This window comes from Homo sapiens, chromosome 2 (assembly GCF_000001405.40).
Source record: "Homo sapiens chromosome 2, GRCh38.p14 Primary Assembly".
Classification (NCBI taxonomy): Eukaryota; Metazoa; Chordata; class Mammalia; order Primates; family Hominidae; genus Homo; species Homo sapiens.
Window position 1 is genome coordinate 203396261 of NC_000002.12, and position 21002 is coordinate 203417262.

The window sequence follows — 21002 nt, forward strand, 5'->3', positions numbered from 1 at the left end:
TAGTTTTGAAAACGTGACACAAAATACATTAATAGAATGTTACATACTTAATTTACTTATAGTAACAAGTAGATAATGCCTTTTAAAAATCATAAAGATTTGTGTTTTAAAAAAAATTTTTAATCTGATAATATGGAATATGTCTATTTTCTGATTTGTGTAATTCAAAATGGAAAACTGTTGTTTTTTAGTGTATTATGTTAGTTTTGTATACTATATACAGAATGTTATGCTAAAAATAACAATACGAAGGGAACACTTTTCTTCTGGAGTAGTGCTTTCAATTGAAAAGGAATGTTTGTTTTTAATGAATTGAAAAAATCTGCACATTACCCTGAGCATCTTGAATTATTTGCTGCTTATATAGTAATCCTTTAGCATAAGTTTTATTCTTTTTTTCAACTCTGTTCTTTTGGTTAGTGTTAAGCACTGAATATCTAACATTAAATACTCTAATACCTTTTCTAATCCTGCCTCATGTGATTGCCTCATTAATGCTGCCTCTTACTCCTCTTTCCCCTCAGCCCCTGCTGGCTCTGCTGGCACTCCTCCCCTTCCTGCTACTTCTGCATCTGCCCCTGCTCCTCTTGTTCCTGCTACTGTCCCTTCCTCCACTGCCCCAGACGCTGCTGCTGGGGGTGCCCAGACCCTTGCTGATGGCTTCACTTCTCCAACTCCCCCTGTTGTTTCTTCCACTCCCCCTACAGGTAAGTATTTGCTTATTCATTGGCAGGCAGATGCAGTCATCTGGCTATTCTCTTACTTGCACCTCTGATTTTTGTTTGTTTTTGGTTTTGTTGTACTTCGTATTAAAAAAAAATAAGAATAATGTACTAACCAGAAAGTATGTGACCAAAGATTAGCATTTCCTGAGAAAATTGAGGTAAAGTTTCTCATACATTTTTCCAATAGGGTAGCATAAATTTGTGTTTTTTTATTGCTTGAATTTCATTTATTAGAGATTTTTAAGTTTAATATGGAGCTACCTTCTATACAGTTTTTGGAAATTATCATTAGAAATATTTTCATTATAGGTTAAGTGATTAACAAAAGTCTATTACAATAATTCTAAGGTATATTTTATAGGAAATATTTGATACAACAAATGGAAAGCCTCTGTAAGTCTATTTTTAACAGAATCTGTTGCTTATTATAGCAGCATTGGAAACTCATAGACAATGGACTTTTAAAGAATTTCAGGTTTATTTAAGTTGGCTGGTGTTTTAAAATTGCAATCTAAAATCTGTTTTGATTGGGGAGGAGATAGACTCAATTGCTACGAAATATATTTGTAGAGTTAATGATGCTGGCTAGTAACAGGTTCTTGTCTGCTATAAAATGTATGTGTTTGGACATATATCACTGTATTAGTCTGTTCTCACATTGCTATAAATACCTGAGACTGGGTAATTTATGCAGAAAAGAGGTTTAATTGGCTAACGGTTCTTCAGGCTGTACAGGAAGCATGATAGTGGCATCTGCTTGGCTTCTGGGGAGGCCTCAGGAAACTTACACTCATGGCCTAAGGCAGAGGGGAAGCACACTGGTCACGTGGCCAGAGTAGGAGCAAGAGGACAAGGCGGGAGGTGCTACACACTTTTAAACAACCAGATCTCATTATTGCAAGAACAGCTCCAAGGGGGATGGTGTTAAACCATGAGAAACCGCCCTTGTGATCCAGTCACCTCCCCCTAGGCCCCACCTCCAACATTGGGGATTACAATTCAACATGAGATTTGGGCAGGGACACAGATTCAAAGCATATCAATCACCGTAGTGTTCCACTTGCCAGTGAAGAACTTCATGGCATTTATATTCAGCTTTGCTGTTATACATGTTAAACATATATAAGATCTTTACATGTTTTAAAAGACACTTTTAGCCAAAATGGATTTTGGGTGATGTCTTGTGGGATTCCTTCTATATGACTTTTAAAGAAAAGCTTTCTGCAGTAGATAAATGTAAACATGGGGTGTTTTTTGATCCAGATACAACTGTTAGGCCAAACTAACTAGTTAAATATAGGAATCTCGTTATGCTCCTGCTTTGATAAAGAATGCATCAGAAAGGACAAATCACCCCCAACTGAGAGTCTATGTTTTAGTAATTAAATATTAATTGAATAACAGGTGCCTGGCTCAGTGTTCACTAAATAAACATTTGTTATGTGAGGGGATAATTAACTGTGGTTTTTAAAACAAAAAGCAAGGTAAATGTCTTATTAATAATTTATATCAGGATAGTCTGTTTTATACAGTACCTGAGTTACCAAGCAATTGTTTTTCTTTTTACCAAGGTATAACTTATGTACAGTAAAATTCACCCTTTATACCATATATGTTTGTGAGTTTTGGCAAAGGTGTACTGACATGTAATTGCCACCACAATCAAGTTACAGAACAGTCCTATCATCGCAAAAATTTCCTCCATGCCCCCTTTATAGTCAGTCCTTCCCTTCCACTCCCAGCTCCTGGTAAGCCCTTGATGTGTTTTTTTTCTCTAAAGTTGTGCCTTTTTAAGTATAACATAAATGAAAGCATATAGTATGTAGCTTTTTTGATCTGTTTTTTTTGGCCAGATGCATTTGAGAATTACCCATGTTGTTGCATGTTTAAGTATTTCATTACATTTTATTGCTTAGTAGTGTTGTATTGTATGGGGATGTACCACAATTTGTTTATCCCTTTCTCAGAGGACATTTAGATTTTTCTAGTTTTGAGTGCTTATGAATAAAGTTGCTATAAACATGTACATACAGGGTTTTTTTTGTGCACATGGGTTTTTATATCAGGTAAATACCTAGGGAATAGAATTGCTGGGTTATATTGTAAGTAAATTTTTAACGTCATAAGAAACTGCCAAGTTGTTTTCCAAAATGGCTGTATAATTTTACACTCCCAGCAGCAATGTGTGAGTTTCCAGTTGCATCCTTGTCAGCCCTTGGTGTTGCCTTTTTTAGCTTTAGCCATTCCAATACATGTGTAATGGTTTCTCATTACATGTGTGGTTTGGATTTGCATTTTCTTAATGACTAATGATATTGAACATTTTTTTCATGTGCTTATTTGCCATGTGTATATCCTCTTTGGTGAAGTATCTGTTCAAATGTTTTGTTCCTTCTCACCTTTTTAATAGGGTTTTTTTCCTTATCATTGAGTTCTTTTATATTCTAAATATATGTCCTTTATAGATTATGAGTTACAAATATTTTCTTCCATTTTGTGATTCGTTTGCTTATTTTCTATTTTTTTGGCGGGGGGAGGAGGGGCGGGCGGACAGAGTTTCACTCTTGGTGTCCAGGCTGGAGTGCAATGGCAGGATCTCAGCTCACTGCAATCTCCGCCTCGCGGGTTCAAGCGATTCTCCTGCCCAGCCTCCCAAATAGCTGGGATTACAGGCACCCACCACCATGCCCAGCTAATTTTTGTATTTTTAGTAGAGACGGGGTTTCACCACGTTGGCCAGGTTGGTCTTGAACTCCTGACCTCAGGTGATCCGCCCGCCTCAGCCTCCCAAAGTGCTGGGATTACAGGCGTGAGCCACTGGGTCCAGCCTGTTCATTTATTTTTTTGATGTTGTATTTCAAATAGCAGAAATTCTTCATTTTTATTAAGTGTTATTTTTCAAAATTTTTTTAAATGAATCGTGCTTTGATGGCATATCTAAGAACTCTTTACCTGAAGTCATAAAGATTTTGTTCTGTGTTTTCTTCTAGAAGTTTTTAGTTTCAGGTTTTATCGCTAGGTTTATGATAATTAGGTATATATATTTTTAAAACCCCAAATGGTAAATCGACTCATTAATAGTGTGAATAGTGTCTTTTTTTTTTTTTTTTTTTTTTTTTTTTGAGACAGAGTCTCACTCTGTCACCCAGGCTGGAATACAGTGGCAATCTCGGCCCACTGCAATCTCCGCTGCCTGGATTCAAGTGATTCTCCTGCCGTAGCCTCCTGAGGAGCTGGGATTACAAGTGTGAGCCACCACACCCAGCTAATTTTTTGTATTTTTAATGGAGACAAAGTTTCACCGTGTTGGTCAGGCTGGTCTTGAACTCCTGATCTGAAATGATCCACCCGCCTCCACCTCCCATAGTACTGTGATTAAAGGCCTGAGCCACCATGCCCAGCCCATGTGAGGTTTTAGACTAGATCTAACTATATAAAATTCATAATGATGTTAATCCAGATGTTTTTAACTTGATCGTAGGTTTGTATTAGTTTGCTATAGATTAATTACTGAAATGCTAATTGTATTCAGTGGTTCAAATAACTAAATATGCCTTTTAAATCATAGTTTATATGTTTTCATTTTTATCATGGTTACAGAGGCTTCTCAGTTGATAGTGGATTATGTTTAAGCTTGAGTGCTTAAGTTTTTGATACACATGTAAGATGTTTAAATGTTATAACAAGCCTTGAGTGCTCTTATAATCCTTATATGACTCCATATGAATCTAAGCTTGGTAAACTTTCAGCTCCTGTAGAACAATTTTAGTCATATAAAACCATTTTATAATCATAGACAAGATGAAAAATTGTCAAAGTGTTGTTTTCCTCTAATACTTTTAATTAAAATTACCAAGAAGATAGTCTCATATTAAGGTAGAATAAAGATGGTAAGACTCAGCTGAGAAATATGAAGCCTGGAAGAGGATATGACTGCAGTGTTTGATCATGAAGATTTCAACAAATCAAGCATTCATCAAATTCCATATTACATAAGTCTTATCTCACTGTGTTTCAAGTAGTTTATTTTAGAATTTAAAAAATTTCAGGATAACCTTAGGCACAAATGGATAGATGAGTGTGCCAGGTATCATCTGTTCCTCCAGTCCCCCCTCCTCTACTCTCCCCTCTTCTCCAGTAGGCTGACCTCCATGAAATGTTTCAGTGGATTCTTTTGCCCTCTGGCTTCCTGTTGGGTTTAGCAAAAGTGTTTTTTTTTTCCTTTTCACTTATCTCCTCCTTTTCTCCCTTTCTCTTTCTCCTTTCCTTTCCCCTCTGCTATCCTCTTGCCCTCCTCCACCTTCATCTCCTCCTCCTCTACCTTCCTGTCCCCTTTCCGCTTTCTTCTCCACCTGCTTATTTCTCCGCCTCCTCTTCTCTCTTGCCCTCCCCTTCTCCCTTGTCTGCTATTGTGCTCTCTCATGGGTGCTGTGGTGCTCTGTCTGTAAGAAAAAGTTCTCAGCTTAATGTAGGTGGGAGTGCAGTCAAGGTAAAGTTTAGGGAGTGGATTATATTATTAGGAAACTGATGGATTATGGAATCATGTCTCCAGTTGACATTAGCTGTGGAAGAACTCTCAAGAGAGCAAAATACAGTGAAATTGATGATAACTATATATGGACTTAGGGATGATATTAAAAATAAGATATATTTTGACCCTCTTTTTATATCTTAATTTTTTTCATGATTGTAAATTTTTTAGATTTTAATTTTAAGACAAAGTAATGTAGCTTTCGTGGTAGATTTTTTTGATTAAAAGAAAGAAATGTTTGATTTGGAATTACGTCATTTAACCTTTTGTTGAAATACTTCATTTTCCTTTAACCATACTTTTTTGCTACCTTACGTTTATTATTATTTATTATTTTGGAATAAGACTGTGTGTCAAACATTTTTTCTCTTGCTTTCCCAAACATCATTCTTGTCGATTTTAGTTTTCAGTGTTCAGTGGCTGTATTTTGGGGGTGGAGTAGATAAATTTTAATTAATTGTGATGATTTTGAAACCCCATCAGATTTTTAATTTAGTGAAATAATAGTGTTAAGTAGCAAACTATTTATTTATTTTGAGACAGAGTCTCACTCTGTCACCCAGGCTGGAGTGCAGTGGTGCAATCTTGGCTCACTACAACCTCTGCCTCCTGAGTTCAAGTGATTCTTACGCCTCAGCCTCCCGAGTAGCTGGAATTACAGGCGCACGCCACCATACCTGGCTAATTTTTGTGTTTTTAGTTGAAACGGGGTTTCACCACGTTGGCCAGGCTGGTCTGAAACTCCTGACCTCAAGTGATCTGCCTGCCTTGGCCTCCCAAAGTGCTGGGATTACAGGCATGAGTCACTGCACCCGGCCCTAATTAGTAAACTATTTAGACATAACTTTCCAAACTTAATCATATTTTTGTTTGCTTTTCTGCTTTTGTACTCTGATATAATATCAGCGAACAATAACTCACCTTGCATTGTATATTTCAGATACCAGTTAAACTAGCTGTTATTTTTAATTCTTAAGATTTAGGCATTGTACATAAAGTATTTAATGATCTGAGATAATTTTCTTTTAATGACATATGTATGTTCTATCTCTTTTTCAGGTCATCCTGTACAGTTCTACAGCATGAATAGGCCTGCCTCTCGCCATACTCCCCCAACAATAGGGGGCTCGTTGCCCTATAGACGCCCTCCTTCCATTACTTCACAAACAAGCCTTCAGAATCAGATGAATGGAGGACCTTTTTATAGCCAGAATCCAGGTTAGTTTTTTTGTTTTTTTGCATTCTATAGAATGTATTTAATTAAAAACCTTCAACTACAAAAAACCCTTAATTACAAATAGTGCATGGTAGGTGGTTAGCACCATTTGTTGAATGAATGGGAGAATGAATGAATTGTAGGTTGTTAATACTGTATCTTTCAATTCTTTAAAAAAAAATCAGTATGTGATTTCCACGTAAAGTCATACAACTTAGTTTTTCTGAGCAGAATTTTTTTGAATATTTTAGTGGTTATTTGCTTTTTAAAATAACATTGTGGTGAATGGTATTTCCTTTTTATTTAATCAGACATCCTTACTTTTAAATAACAAATAATGAAAGTTGTGTGCACATGAACAGAATTTAGAAGTGGCAAAGGAAAAGAGAACATTTTTGAAGCTACTTTGTGCTAGGGAATTATACTAGCTTATACAATTCTCATACCAAACCCATGGTGGAAAAACTAGGAATTGGGTAAATTGAATCAGATATAATAATTACACTAAATAATCGGTTGTATCATGCATGCAGAATAACTAATCTGGAACATATTTAATAATTATTATTTTGTTTACTCCCCAGAGAGGGCAAGAACAAATATTAGACACCATGGCTATTGTGGACATGGTATGTCAACTTACTGCTTTTTTCTGTATTTTTGCCAGGAAGCCAGTAAGCCTATGTGTGAACACCTCTCATACTGGGTTCAACTCATTCCATTTTTGATAAGCCTTGAATTTTATGGAGCTGCAGTTTGTCTCTGTGGCTGTGACCTATAGTGATATTCTTTGAAAGAGTCTTGCAGAAGAAATTTGATCCTCCAACATAAACACTTAATTTAAATAATGTTTTTATATTATCTCATTTGATTCTTAGAATCACGTACAAAATAAGATTGGTGATCATTTTCTTATATCTTATAGGTAAGGAAAATGAGGCTGAGGTGATGGTCAGGTTAGGATTTGAACTTAGGTTTTCTGACTCTAAGTTCCATGTTCTTTCTTTCTGTTTTTTTTTTTTTTTTTTTTTTAAATTGAGATGGAGTCTCGCTCTGTTGCCCAGGATGGAGTGCAGTGGTGTGATCTCTGATCACTGCAATGCCTGCCTCCTGGGTTCAAGAGATTCTCCTGCCTCAGCCTCCTGAGTAGCTGGGATTACAGGCACCCACGACCACACCCAGCTAATATTTGTATTTTATTGTAGAGACAGGGTTTCACTATGTTGGCCAGGCTGGTCTTAAACTCCTGACCTTAAGTGATTCACCCACCTCAGCCTCCCAAAGTGCTGGGATTACAGGCGTGAGTCACCGTGCCTGGCCTAAGTTCCATGTTCTTTCTATTGTCCTACCTACATATTTAAAAAATTTTTCTCTTATCCTCCCAAGTCTTCTCTTTTTTGGAGGGGAAGGCGGATGAAAAGATGTGATATAAAGTGCATGAAAGCCTGAGACCTTGTCAGTCTTTTATACAGTTACATCCTGGAATATTGCTCAGGAACTGTTTGTTGAATGCCAAATGAATCCCTTGTTCATTTTTCCAAATCCCTTCACTGTTCTGGGTCCCTCTCGTAAATTAAGTGCTGTATCTGTAGTCCATCCAGTGCAAACCATAGTGTGAATACCAACTGCCTTAATTGATATATACTTCCCTTCTATCTTTTATCACGTTTAGTGTTTTTGGCTATGCCATTCTTTTTAAATCATTCTGAACTTAAATTTTGACAAAACTGCCCTTTTTATACATTTGCCTTTTAAACCATGTTTTCAAACTCACATTTGTTCAGGAGCACGGGATTACAGGTACCTGCCACCACGCCTGGCTAATTTTTGTTTTGTTTTGTTTTGAGACAAAGTCTTGCTCTGTCACCCAGGCTGGAGTGCAGTGGTACAATCTCGGCTCACTGCAACCTCTACCTCCCGGGTTCAAGCGATTCTCCTGCCTCAGCCTCCCAAGTAGCAGGGATTACAGGCACCTGCCACTACACCCAGCTAATTTTTGTATTTTTAGTAGAGACAGGGTTTCACCATATCGGCCAAGCTGGTCTTGAACTCCTGACCTCAAGTCATCCACTTGCCTTGGCCTCCCAAAGTGCTCAGATTACAGGTGTGAGCCACCGCACCCGGCCTATACAGGGATATTTCATGCTTTGTTCGTGTATGCTCCAAAATAGTCCTATGAGAACTCTGTAGGTAGAATTTATTTGAAGGCTGTTTAAGCACATATTTAAATGCATTTTATAATACATACTTCAATAGTTTCTTTGTAAATCTGATTTTCAAATGCTTGAAAGTATATGTTAAAGTAAAAAGATCCCCACTTTATGGAATGATTTTAATGAAAAGTATTTTTCTCACTCATGGAAGTAAGGTGAATTGGGATTGTTAGGCTTTCTGTGTAATGTGTGAGTCAATTTAGTTGTGCTTTTTTGTTTTTCTGTACTCTGCTCTATTAAGTTCTGCCTTTCATCTCCAGGGATTTGATAACTGTTTAAAGTGGGTGGCCACAGCATTGTTAGTTGGTTAATCAGAGTACTTTTTGTAAACTAATTTTTTTTTAACTAAACCATTTTCTTGGAAAAGCTCTTTTTGCAAGACTTAATGATTTGTGAATCAGTGTTCTAAGGCTGTTAGATGTACTTTTATTTTATATTCATTAGAATATTATTTATGAGTCAAGCACTGTGGCAGGTGCCTGCAGTCCCAGCTCCTCAGGAGGCTGAGGCAGAACGATTGGTTGAACCTAGGAGATGGAAGTTTCAGTGAGCCGAGATTGTGCCACTGTACTCCAGCCTGGGCAACAGAGTGAGACCCTGTCTCAAAAAAAAAAAATTATGTAAGTCTCCTGTATTACTCCCAGTAGCCCTGCAATTGTCCCTATTTTTTTCATATTTACAATGAGAATATTTGTTGTGCTTTCTCAAGTAACTAATTCTCTGATTTAACAAAAATGATCTGAAGTGTGTGTTTTATGAGCTTTTTTTTTGGGGGGGTAATTGGAGTCTTGCTGTGGTTGCATGCTTCTGAGGAAGTGAGCTGACAATCTTTGGAAGGTTTCATGTGAATATAAATTCAGTGGGGTTCTGTGAGGTGTAAATCTAGCAGTGCTGTTACTATATTTGTTAATGTACAATTTGATCTGAGTTTGAAAAAGGGCAATTATAACATAGGAGTTAAAATATGGAACACCCAGTGTCTAGTGCCAAGTCTTAGGAGCACAATAATTGTTTTTTTCATGAGATTATTTCAGAAACAAGTTATTGAAAGGAAAGGAACCCTTTGATCAGGGCATAACTGAAATCCCTTTGGTTCTCATTATTTCTTAATCTAATCCAGCCAATGAAATAGGAATACCAATTTATCATTAATCTTGCCAGTGGTAAGGAGGGGGTCATAGAAACACATAGGGCTAATTATGAGTTAACAGTCTCTACTTTAAATGTAAATATGAAACACCTTGGTGGTCAAGAAGAATATACATATATCTACATGTGAGTATGTGTACATATACTTACATAAGCCTTGTTTGTTAAGGAATCAGTAATGTAGCATGTAAGTATTGAAGACTTTAGGAGAAAGTAGCCTGTATTTTACTGCTCATATTTTCTTAAAAGCTTTTGAAAAAATCTAGTTCATAAAGTGAATGTTGGTTCCAAGAGATGTGTCTATATATAGTTCTATGAGATATAGGAGTTTCTGAATGGGTATGCTGTTTCACAAAGAGAAAGTGTCAGGCTTAGTAACCCCTGAATGGTTTTAAAAGCGACTAAAAAAATAGGAAACAATGTTGGGATGGTGCTGTTCCAAAATAAAAAGCCATTTCACATATTCTCTAAATGATTTGTGAAGTTACAGCATCACCATAAATGTCTAAAACGTCTAGAAGAATACTGATGTGTTGGGGCTTTAGCAAAGTATAAATAAAGAGCAGGAGCAGGAAGATTTTTTTTTCTCCCCAAAGTCTTGCTTTGTTGTCCAGGCTGGAGTGCAGTGGCACAATCTTGGCTCACTGCAACCTCTGCCTCCTGGGTTCAAGCGATTCTCCTGCCTCAGCCTCCCGAGTAGTTGGAACTACAGGTGTGTGCCACCACGCCTGGCTCTTTTTTTTTCTTTAATAGAGACAAGCTTTCACCGGGTTGGCCAGGCTGATCTCCGACTCCTGACCTCAAGTGATCCAGTTCCATCTGGCGTAACAAAGGTCATCCCAAATTCTACTTTTCTCCACGGCAAACCTTTAACAAGGTGGTCGAAATTAATTCAGATACCACATCCTTTTCTTTTTGGACCATGTAAGATCTCATCTGACTAGAATGTCTGTGAGCCAGAATATACTGTCTTTCTTGGAGTTGAGCTGAAAACAAACCATTCTAAGAGAATTTAAGCAGAATTTTGAGCAAAGAATTGTTGCAATATTCAGTTCTAATCCTAGTCATTTTGTTACTGCTTTGGCCTCCCAAAGTGCTGGGATTACAGGTGTGAGCCACCGCATCCAGCCTGAATTCACTTTTACATACCTTTTGTTCTAAGTTGGTATTCATGTTTAGAAAATACTACACTTACACATTGTTTATTTCCTTCACTGGGAAAAAAACATAAGCATCTCAACTCGCATGGGCTATATAATATATATATCTCCTCTAAATGTGATGTTCAGTAATGACTTTAGAAGTAGTTTTTAGAGCGCTTATTTTGTCTAATATTCTCAGAGTATTTATAAAGCTGTAAAAATAAGATGTAAAAGCTTAATTTTATTTTTCCAAACTTTTTGAATTGGACATCTAAAATACAAGCTTCATTGATGCTTCAGAGGACTTTATAAATAACCAGGAAGGTTGTACTTGGAAAGTCTGTACATTTCATCAGCACAGATTCATCATTTAGGTTTGGATTGCTTGGAAAGCCTTTTACTGTTTATATCTAAACATTCTTGTATATTGTGAAAATTACATAACAATCTAAGTTTGGAGATCTTTTGGTGGTTATTGGGAAAGAGTCTTGTCTTATGAGGAATCATTTTAGCTAAATGAAATGAAAACAAGTTTGCTTCCTGCTCTTCTTTGCCTGTTCACAAAATGACTAGGATTAGAACTGAATATTGCAACAATTCTTTCCTCAAAATTCTGCTTAAATTCACTTAAAATGGTTTGTTTTCAGCTCAACTCCAAGAAAGACAGTATATTCTGGCTCACAGACGTTCTTGTCAGATGAAATCTTACAAGGTCCGAAAAGAAAATGATGTGGTATCTGAATTAATTTCGACCACCTTATTAAAGGTTTGTCCTGGAGAAAAGTAGAATTTGGGATGACCTTTGTAACCCCAGACGGAACTGAATTTTTGAACATGCCTTAGACTAGCTTTGAAAAAAGTCTAACTTGTTACCAAGTCATTCTTTTAAGGAAGAACTGCGATTGATCTTTCCCTGGCTGCTGGTGGACTTTTTTTTTTTTTTGAGATGGAGTTTTGCTCTTGTTGCCCAGGCTGGAGTGCAATGGCATGATCTCGGCTCACTGCAGCCTCTACCTCCTGGGTTCAAGCGATTCTCCTGGTTCAGCCTCCCGAGTAGCTGGGGTTACAGGCACCTGCTACCACACCTGGCTAATTTTTGTATTTTTAGTAGAGATGGGGTTTCACCATGTTGGCCAGGCTGGTCTTGAACTCCTGACCTCAGGTGATGCGCCCCCCTCGGCCTTCCAAAGTGATGGGATTACAGGCATGAGCCACCGTGCCTGGCTGCTGGTGTACTTCTTAAAACCACTATGGCTTCAGATTTTCACTTTCAGAAGTAGAAAAGAAATAAGCATATTCATCTTAAAAAAAAAAACCTCAGTCTACCCACAAAAAGACTGCTGTAGGTTAAGCACCTAATCATTCTTTTTTAGCTGAGTACCAAAAGGTCATTTTTTATATTTGGTAGAGAAACAGTGACTGAAGTGGGAAATTTCCCACTTTTCTGTTACACGGAAGGTTAGGTTACATGCCAACAGAAGAGGAGCATTTCATCTTGGATGTGAACATGTGCCTTGTCTCTACTCTTCTAGTGCCAGTTGCTGCCTGCTACTGTTTCTCAGTTTTATCTTTTTTGTCTATGCTACCTTCTCCTTTCTTTTTTTTTTTTTTTTGAGACGGAGTCTCGCTCTGTCGCCCAGGTCGGACTGCGGACTGCAGTGGCGCAATCTCGGCTCACTGCAAGCTCCGCTTCCCGGGTTCACGCCATTCTCCTGCCTCAGCCTCCCGAGTAGCTGGGACTACAGGCGCCCGCCACCGCGCCCGGCTAATTTTTTGTATTCTTAGTAGAGACGGGGTTTCACCTTGTTAGCCAGGATGGTCTCGATCTCCTGACCTCATGATCCACCCGCCTCGGCCTCCCAAAGTGCTGGGATTACAGGCGTGAGCCACCGCGCCCGGCCCAACTACCTTCTCTTTTCACTGTCTTCTGCTTACCCTTGGAAACAGTATTATGAACATATCAACAGTTGTTGTAAGCCTCTGAGTGGGAAGCAGACACGCAAGTCAAGGATTTACTGCCAAGAATTATGACTTTAGGGAAAAACCTAACCAAAGGTGTCTTTTTAAGAAAGGTACCAATTTCTAGGGTTATACTGCTCTGTTCTTTGCATCTAGATATTCAAGATTATCTGCTTAACTCTTGTCTGTGCATTTATATGTCCTCCCTGCATCTATCCATAGCATCAACTGTAGATATTTTGCATAATCTCAACCCAAATATATCATATCATTATCTCTCCCTGACTTACCTGTTTACCATCCCATTTCTTTCCCAGTACTACCTACCAGGCTTAACATAGTTAGTGACATCTCCATCTTCATAGTTACGAAGGGTAAAAATCTAAGAATGACCTTCAGCTTGTTGCTGTCCTTGATATGCTAGCTAAATCATTAATTGCCAACTACTCTCTTCCCACACTTTTAAAGTTCTCTCCTTTTCTAGAAACTGCTTTGATTTATTACGTGCCAGCCACTGGGTTAGGCTTTCCACATCCATTGTCTTTTTTTAATCTTTGCAGCCACTATTGGAAGTAGGTTGCATTACCTTGTTTTCATATCACATTTATGGAATAGGCCTGAAGAAGTTAATTGACTAGCTATCCAAACAGCCAGGAAATGATGGATCAGAGATTTGAGGCTGAGTGACCTGAAAATCCAACCTCTTTCCACTAAGCACTCTTCCACCAGGCATATAAGATCCTTCCCTATTTCATATCCTCCCATTGATATTTCTGGGTTTTTTACTTTCTCTTTGGGTATCTTTTCCTAGCCATATGGAAACATTTCTGGTCCTGTGAACTGGTTATGCTGTTTTATGCCTCTGAGCCTTTACCCTCACTTGCTTCTCTCAACTTGATTATCTTTCTCAACCCCTGTCAGCTTGGCAGGTTCCCTTCTTCAAGTCCCTGCTGAGAGGTCATTTCATTGTAGCCCTCCTTACCTCCACCACTACTTCCAGGGAATTGCTACAAATATTGTTGGGTTAAGATTATCATGTATTCTTCTGTTTCAATAGAATGTGATCTCCTTGAGAGCAGAGACATGTTCATCTTTTTAGTTTTATTAGTCTTAACTGTATTTTGGAGCTAACAGAGGCATTTTCTCTTTATAAGAAAATGCATATCCTACTTTGTACCCATTCTAAAGGAAACTGTAACTGTAGAGTAATCTTTTTTCTTTCTTTTTTTTGCCGCTTTAGTTTCCACACATACCTGGCTTATTAGTGCAATTATATATGTTAAACATCTGTTGACAGTTTATTAGTTCTAGGCACTGTGCCAGGTGATTGAGGTGCAGGGAAATACACCTTGGGAAGGAGAGTGGAATGATTTGATTAAGGCCTGCACTTTTCTATACCATCAGGGAGGAAGTGTACCAATGAGTTGGGATTATGAAAAATTGTAATGACATAGCACCCGATTCTCAGAGGACGGTTTTGATACTGTTTTCCTAGCAGGTGTTTGCCACTTACTTAGTATGAAGTCAGTAAGTATTTGTCTAATTAATGAATGAAGAACCAGTTTACTTGCCTACAATTAGAGTAATAAAAGTATCCATTTAGAGTGTTGGGATGTAATATTTTTTTCTCTCTGTATTGACAAACATTTAAACTTGTAACCTTCCAAGGTAAAATTCAGAAAACAACATCATGGTAATCTGCAGAAATGCTTTCCTTGAGAAGGCATGATGTTAATGATATGAAAAAAGATCAATTATATATAATATATATATAAAACATGATTGTTATATATAAAAATGGGATTATGTTTTATATATATAAAACATACGATTATGTTATATATATATTTAACATATCTGTGTATGATAAATGCCTCCTGTTGTGATTTTCAAAAACTTACTAAAAATTCCCCCAGTACTTTGTTTGTGTTAATGAGTTGTCCCTCAACAGGGGATCCTTGAGATCACTGATAAAATGTTTGTGAATAGTAGTTTCCCTCCTTTATGTGTTTATTTTATTGTATTATCCTTTCCTTTTAATGTAACTCGCCCTTATCCCTTATCCTCCACACCTTTTTTGTTTTTGCAGTATCTCTTGCTCCTCCTCCTCCCTCCATCCTACAGGTAACTCCTCAGTTACCTTTAATGGGATTTGTGGCCAGAGTCCAAGAAAATAGTAAGTTTATGTCTTCTTTATGCTGTAGATCAGATTGTAGGCATAAAATGTCATTTATATGTGATTGACTGGATAGTCATTCATTTGCTGATACTTCAACATTTCAATATTATGAACAAATCACTGTCTGGCTAGTGGAGATAAAATAGAGAAATTTTCTACTTTTAAATAACTAATAGTAAAGACATAAGACAAATACATATAAAATAAGGCACATATAAGAAAAGAAAGATCACATCCTACTGAGGAGGTATCTTTAATCACTAGATATCCCATCTTTTTCTCTGGGTTGCTCAGATAAGTGGTAGTCTAGTTTCTTATCACTGGAGTTTTATGGGTATTATAGGTGGTCTGAGAATCTTCCTCCAGTTTTGTGATTCCAGATATCAGAAGGGCCTTTTATGGTAGGGCTCAGAGGACCAGGCTGCCAGTCTGTCTCCCAAGAAGCCTCATAGGTTGGCAATGAATTTCCCTTGGCCTGTTCAGGTAACTAATTTTGTTCATACCTTGAGTCTTCTAGGGAAGCATTAAGGGAGCTCAGGAGGCTGATGACAAATCAGGAGGCCTGTATCAACATTCAGTGAGGAATTGCTGTCACAGAGACCAGTGAACATAGACTGTATGATGGACAAATCCTCTTCTTATGGGCAGTCTTTGCGAGGGCCACATCACAATAATAAGGTTACATGATTTGCATGAATCTGAACTAGGAGAATGATATTAAAGATCTCATGTCATCAGACCAAAGTAGTCCAGTGTATATATCTCATAACAAGGATGGATGACTTCACTGGTGGGGTAGAAATATTTGCAATCTGTGGCTTAGGACTCCTGCTTATTTGGAAATGGGCACTGCCAGTACTAGAATGTAAGCTCTATAAGAGCAAGGAGTTTTGCCTGTTTTGCTTGCTAGCTGTTTCCCCAGCACTTGGAAAAGCATCTGACACATAGCAGGCACTTTTGGTCCCTGCTTTTTTCTGCTTCTGTAGCTGACCAAATGCCCCCCTTTTATCAGCACATTCTTCTAGATGTGGTTGTATTTTAACTAATAATTCAGTCTTACTGGCCTAAGGGCTCAGTGTCTTTCAGCTGCCTTTGCATCTCTATTTGCTAATTTCTGAAAATAGTCTATTTTACTTACTTTTGTTTATTGGAAGGTACTCCATGAACACCTGTAATGTTTACCACACCGTGACTTCATAAGATGTTTTGTTGAGTTTAAGAGCTATTTTCACATATAATTAGGTTGATTTCATATGTTTTAAATTATGCTATTGGGGCCGACTCTTCTTTAGCTTGGGTGTGACCCACACTGGCTCGAGGAGAAAACTGCCTCTCAGCAACATTCAACTATTAATAGTTCAGCATGTGCCAAGCACATCCATAGTGTGATCCTCTGCCAGGCTTGTGAGGTCAAGTGTGGGATACAGGGTCACTGTTGCCAGGTTTTAAAAAATGTCTGCTGCATCCAAACAGGATAAATACCAAGTAGAAAAGGATTTAATTACAGTACGAGAATTGAAGGACTTTCCAATGCTGGTTCCATTCTACATACTCCATACAAGGTGGAAAGTCTAAGTAAATGTCATTACAGTAAAATAATTTTTTTCCATCACAAATCCGGTTTAATCACAATGATTAATGATGGTAGTCACTTGAATAATACCCTGGGAGTTTTTTCTGTTTTTACTATTGTGATGAGTGTACACCTTAGAGAATTCTGCCAATCAATTGCTACTGCATGTTCTGTGAGATGTTGTCATTCATTTTGAACAAAAGTGGTTCTGAGCAGCTTCTGGAGTAAAGGCCAGATTTTGAAACTGACATTGAAGACTAATCCATTAATGAAACACGAATGTTTGTATAGCAACTAAGTGGTTATTTTCTTAGCAAAAAATGAGACTTGAAAGTTGAATAGGATTTAAAGCAGGATGTCATTGGTTTTCGCCAGTCACCAGTGAAAGCTGCAAGCTTTGTAGAAACAGCAAAATGTTTCATGAACCAAACCTAAGAAGTATTGTTTTAATTTAATAGTAAAGTGCATGACTATCACTTTAAGACTTAGGAATGTCTTAAGTAGATGACTGCAAAACATTATTATAGCAGCACTACCTATATTTTAAAAAGTCATTCCCTAATTTGACCACCCTATCACAGTTGATTGCCTTTTGGATTGGTCTTTTTCATCTTTTCCTACAATCATATACGTTTCTCATTTACACAACGTATAAAAAAATTGTGTATGAGGTGTGCTGTGACTAATTTTACAGACGTGGCAGGACTTAAACATTAGTCAAATAATAAACATTATTTGAATGTTTAAGTCTTTAAACTCTTTAAAACATTCACCTTGGAAAAATACATACATTTCTTTTGGTACATCTTCAAAGATAATTCTTTGGAATTATCTTCAAAGCTTTCCAGGTATATTATTTTGAAGATATTCCTTGGTAGCAAATACTCACTCTGCATTAAGTTTGATGTTTGGAAGAAGTCTGGAATAATTTGGAACCAGTTATAGTGACCCAGTTATACTGGGGTAAGAAGTACAGCTATGACCCTGTTATTCCCCTTAAAATCTTTCTGTGGCTCACCATGGCTCTTTGGATAGAGTCCAAACTGCTGTAAGGCCCTTCCTGCCTCATCCTCTTCAGCTTCCTGAAGCTGGCTACTGAATTTGGACAGTTCTTTGAAAGTTTCTTGCTTTCTTACCTTTGTACTTGCATTGTCTTTTTTTTTTTTTTTTTTTGGAGACAGTCTCACTCTGTCACCCAGGCTGGAGTACAGTGGTGCAATCTTGGCTCTCTGCCACCTTCCCCTCCTGGGTTCAAGTGATTCTCATGCCTCAGCCTCGTGAGCAGCTGGGAATACACGTGTGCACCACCATGTGCGTCTAATTTTTGTATTTTTAGTAGAGACGGGGTTTCGCCATATTGGCCAGGCTGGGCTTGAACTCCTGAGCTCAAATGATCCTCCTGCCTCAGCCTCCCAAAGTGCTGGGATTACAGGCGTGAGCCTCCCCGCCTGGCCTTGTTTTGTTCTTTGTATCTGACATGAAATATCAATGCCTCTGCCATCCTACCCTCCCCTCTTCCTCCCCATTAACTCTTACTCTTCCTTCAGGTTTCAGGAAGCCTTTCCTGACCCACATAACAAGTGTGGTTTATGCTGTGTGCTTCTATAGTATCTTAAAGCACACACTACACTCAATTGTAAATGAAGATTTGGTCGTTCATGTCTTCATGACTTTTGCCTACTGCCCTTTTCTCAATGCTGAGCATAATATCCAGCCATATTAGTTAATGTTTGTTGAATAAATACTAATGAAGCATGACTTGAAGTTTTTAAAATTTATCCCATCCCATAATAGTGTAGCTTTTAAGATAATAGGCATTGGAGTTCAGGTGCTTTTCCACTTACTTGCTGTCAGAATACTTAATCTTGGAAAGCCAGTCTCCACATCTATAAAATGAAAAACACCACCTCCCAATATAAAGATGAAATGAAATAATGCATTACAAAGGACTAGCTGAGTAATTGGAACATTTTAAGTCAAAAGTAGTAGCTTATTAAACTGGCAGTTACAAGAAAAGTAAAAATGACCAATGGCAGCATCTTTGAGTAATTTTGTAGTGTCATTTCTCAAGGTTATTGTTTTGAAAGTTCCTTTGGATCTATGGTTCTGTGCAGTTGTTTAAAGTCAGTCTTTTTATCTTACAAATGGAAATAGGATAAATTTCTCTTTCTCACCCAAGTATATGGTAAATCACATATCTATATCTTTTGTTTATTAATAAAAACTATTAGGATGAAAGACATTCTATTTAATGACTGAAGTTTTAAAGTTTATAAAGTAGATCAGTATAGAGGGGCACAGCAGATGGGAAGAATACTGATAAGACAGCATGGTGTTGATGTGGCTGCTCCCACCAGGCATCAGCAGTCTTTGAAAATCCATTTAATTCACCGGGCGCGGTGGCTCACGCCTGTAATCCCAGCACTTTGGGAGGCCGAGGTGGGCGGATCACAGGGTCAAGAGATCTAGACGATCCTGGCTAACACGGTGAAACCCCATCTCTACTAAAAATACAAAAAATTAGCTGGGTGTGGTGGCGGGCGCCTGTAGTCCCAGCTACTTGGGAGGGTGAGGCAGGAGATTGGCATGAACCCGGGAGGCAGAGCTTGCAATGAGCCGAGATCACACCACTGCACTCCAGCCTGGGCGATAGAGCGAGACTCCGTCTCAAAAAAAAAAAAAAAAAAAAAAAAAAATCCATTTAATTCAATTCGTAGGCTTAGATTAAAAAATACTAAATAAATTGGATTGCTCAGAGAGTCACATGGGAACTATACTGGTACCTCATAAATAAGAATTAGTGCTGTTCATTAAACCTGGGGAGCTGATAAACAGGTTTATTCATTTCATTCTGTTCAGTTGTGCTCACGTATTTACCAACCATTTTGAAAGCTTAAGGTAGCTGAGTTTGAAGATAATCTTTTTGATGTTACTATATATTGGTATGCAAGCTGTGGAAGCAGATCTCCATGTGAGATATTTTAAATTACTCTGATAGTACACTTGGACATTTAGCCTGAAGAAATTCTGAATTATAGTCTGAATTAGAAGAAATTCTATAAGTAAACAAACATCCTCATAGATGAAGTAACCCAAGTTTGTTGATGATTTTTTTCCTCTTGAATTTGGTAAAATGCTATTTTAGAAAAATTCATTAAGAGGAAAGTAGTGGGTTATTAAAATTTTACTATTCCCTGGACTCATTTAAGTGAAAAAATATTTTAAGAATTTGTGAAATATGGTTTTCAGTGTTAGTATTTCTGATAACTTACCCTTGAATACAGTGTAAAGCTCAGCTGTATTGTACTGATCTCTGGGTTTTTTTATTCTTATTTTTTATTGTTTATTTTTTTTTTGCTGTTGTTGTTTTTGAGATGCGGTCTTGCCCTATGGCCCAGGCTGGAGTGGCGTGATCTCGACTCACTGCAACCTCCACCTCCCCGGTTCCAGCGATTCTTGTGCCTTGGCCTCCTGAGTAGCTGGGATTACGGGCGCCCACGACCATGTGCGACTAATTTTTGTATTTTTAGTAGAGGCAGGGTTTCACCATGTTGCCCAGGCTGGTCTTGAACTTCTGACCTCAGGTGATCCGCCTGCTTCGGCCTCCCAAAGTGCTGGGATTACAGGCGCGAGCCACCGCTCCTGGCCATACTGATCTCTTTGGAAAGAGGATTTGTGTTAATATAAACAGGTTCCAGAGGCTCAGTTAATAATTATTTTGTCTAAACTTTATTCAGTGTCCATTAGCATTAATCCAAGGGCAAGAGAGGGAGAACGTCATACTTGGAGCTCTAGAACGTTATAGTTGGTGGGAAGACTTATCTTGCTCATTGATTTTTTGAAGGAATATTACATTTATTTTCAAGTCTAGGTTTATATTCCATGAACCCAGAAGCTTGGATAGGAAATACTGAACTTTGCATAACATATAGTTTTGTTGTCAGCCTGATACGTTCTTAGTTTCAGATACACCACCTCCACCGCCACCTGTGGAAGAACCAGTCTTTGATGAGTCTCCCCCACCTCCTCCTCCTCCAGAAGATTACGAAGAGGAGGAAGCTGCTGTGGTTGAGTATAGTGATCCTTATGCTGAAGAGGACCCACCGTGGGCTCCACGTTCTTACTTGGAAAAGGGTAAGTTTCAGAAGGATATCTGGATAGATGGGAAGAAACCTCTACATAGAAATGAAATTTGCGGTACTGAAGAGAATCTTATTTTCTACTAAGTGAAGTTCTATTTATTTGTATTTGTGCATTTTTACTGAGTTTACAAGGTTCATGATTTTGAAAGTTACACTAGTAAAATTCTGTGAAT

General features: G+C 37.9%; 1 protein-coding gene across 123 annotated transcripts in view; it reads left to right on the forward strand.

Moving 5' to 3' along the window:
* Positions 1 to 21002, forward strand: part of ABI2 (abl interactor 2) — a 103776-nt gene that overhangs the window by 67867 nt on the left and 14907 nt on the right. For 31 of the 123 annotated variants that reach the window (NR_164711.1, NR_164709.1, NR_164706.1 and 28 more), the window contains 2 exons: positions 6316 to 6474; positions 20648 to 20821. Coding sequence is in view for 108 of the 123 variants with exons in the window: in NM_001375666.1 (NP_001362595.1) it covers positions 6316 to 6474; positions 20648 to 20821 (333 nt within the window). In the remaining 15 variants the exon portion in view is untranslated. Of the gene's footprint in view, positions 1 to 524; positions 708 to 6315; positions 6475 to 7056; positions 7102 to 11623; positions 11743 to 15024; positions 15112 to 20647; positions 20822 to 21002 lie in introns of all 123 variants that reach the window. The other 92 variants (NR_164705.1, NR_164715.1, NR_164714.1 and 89 more) reach the window with 12 other exon arrangements.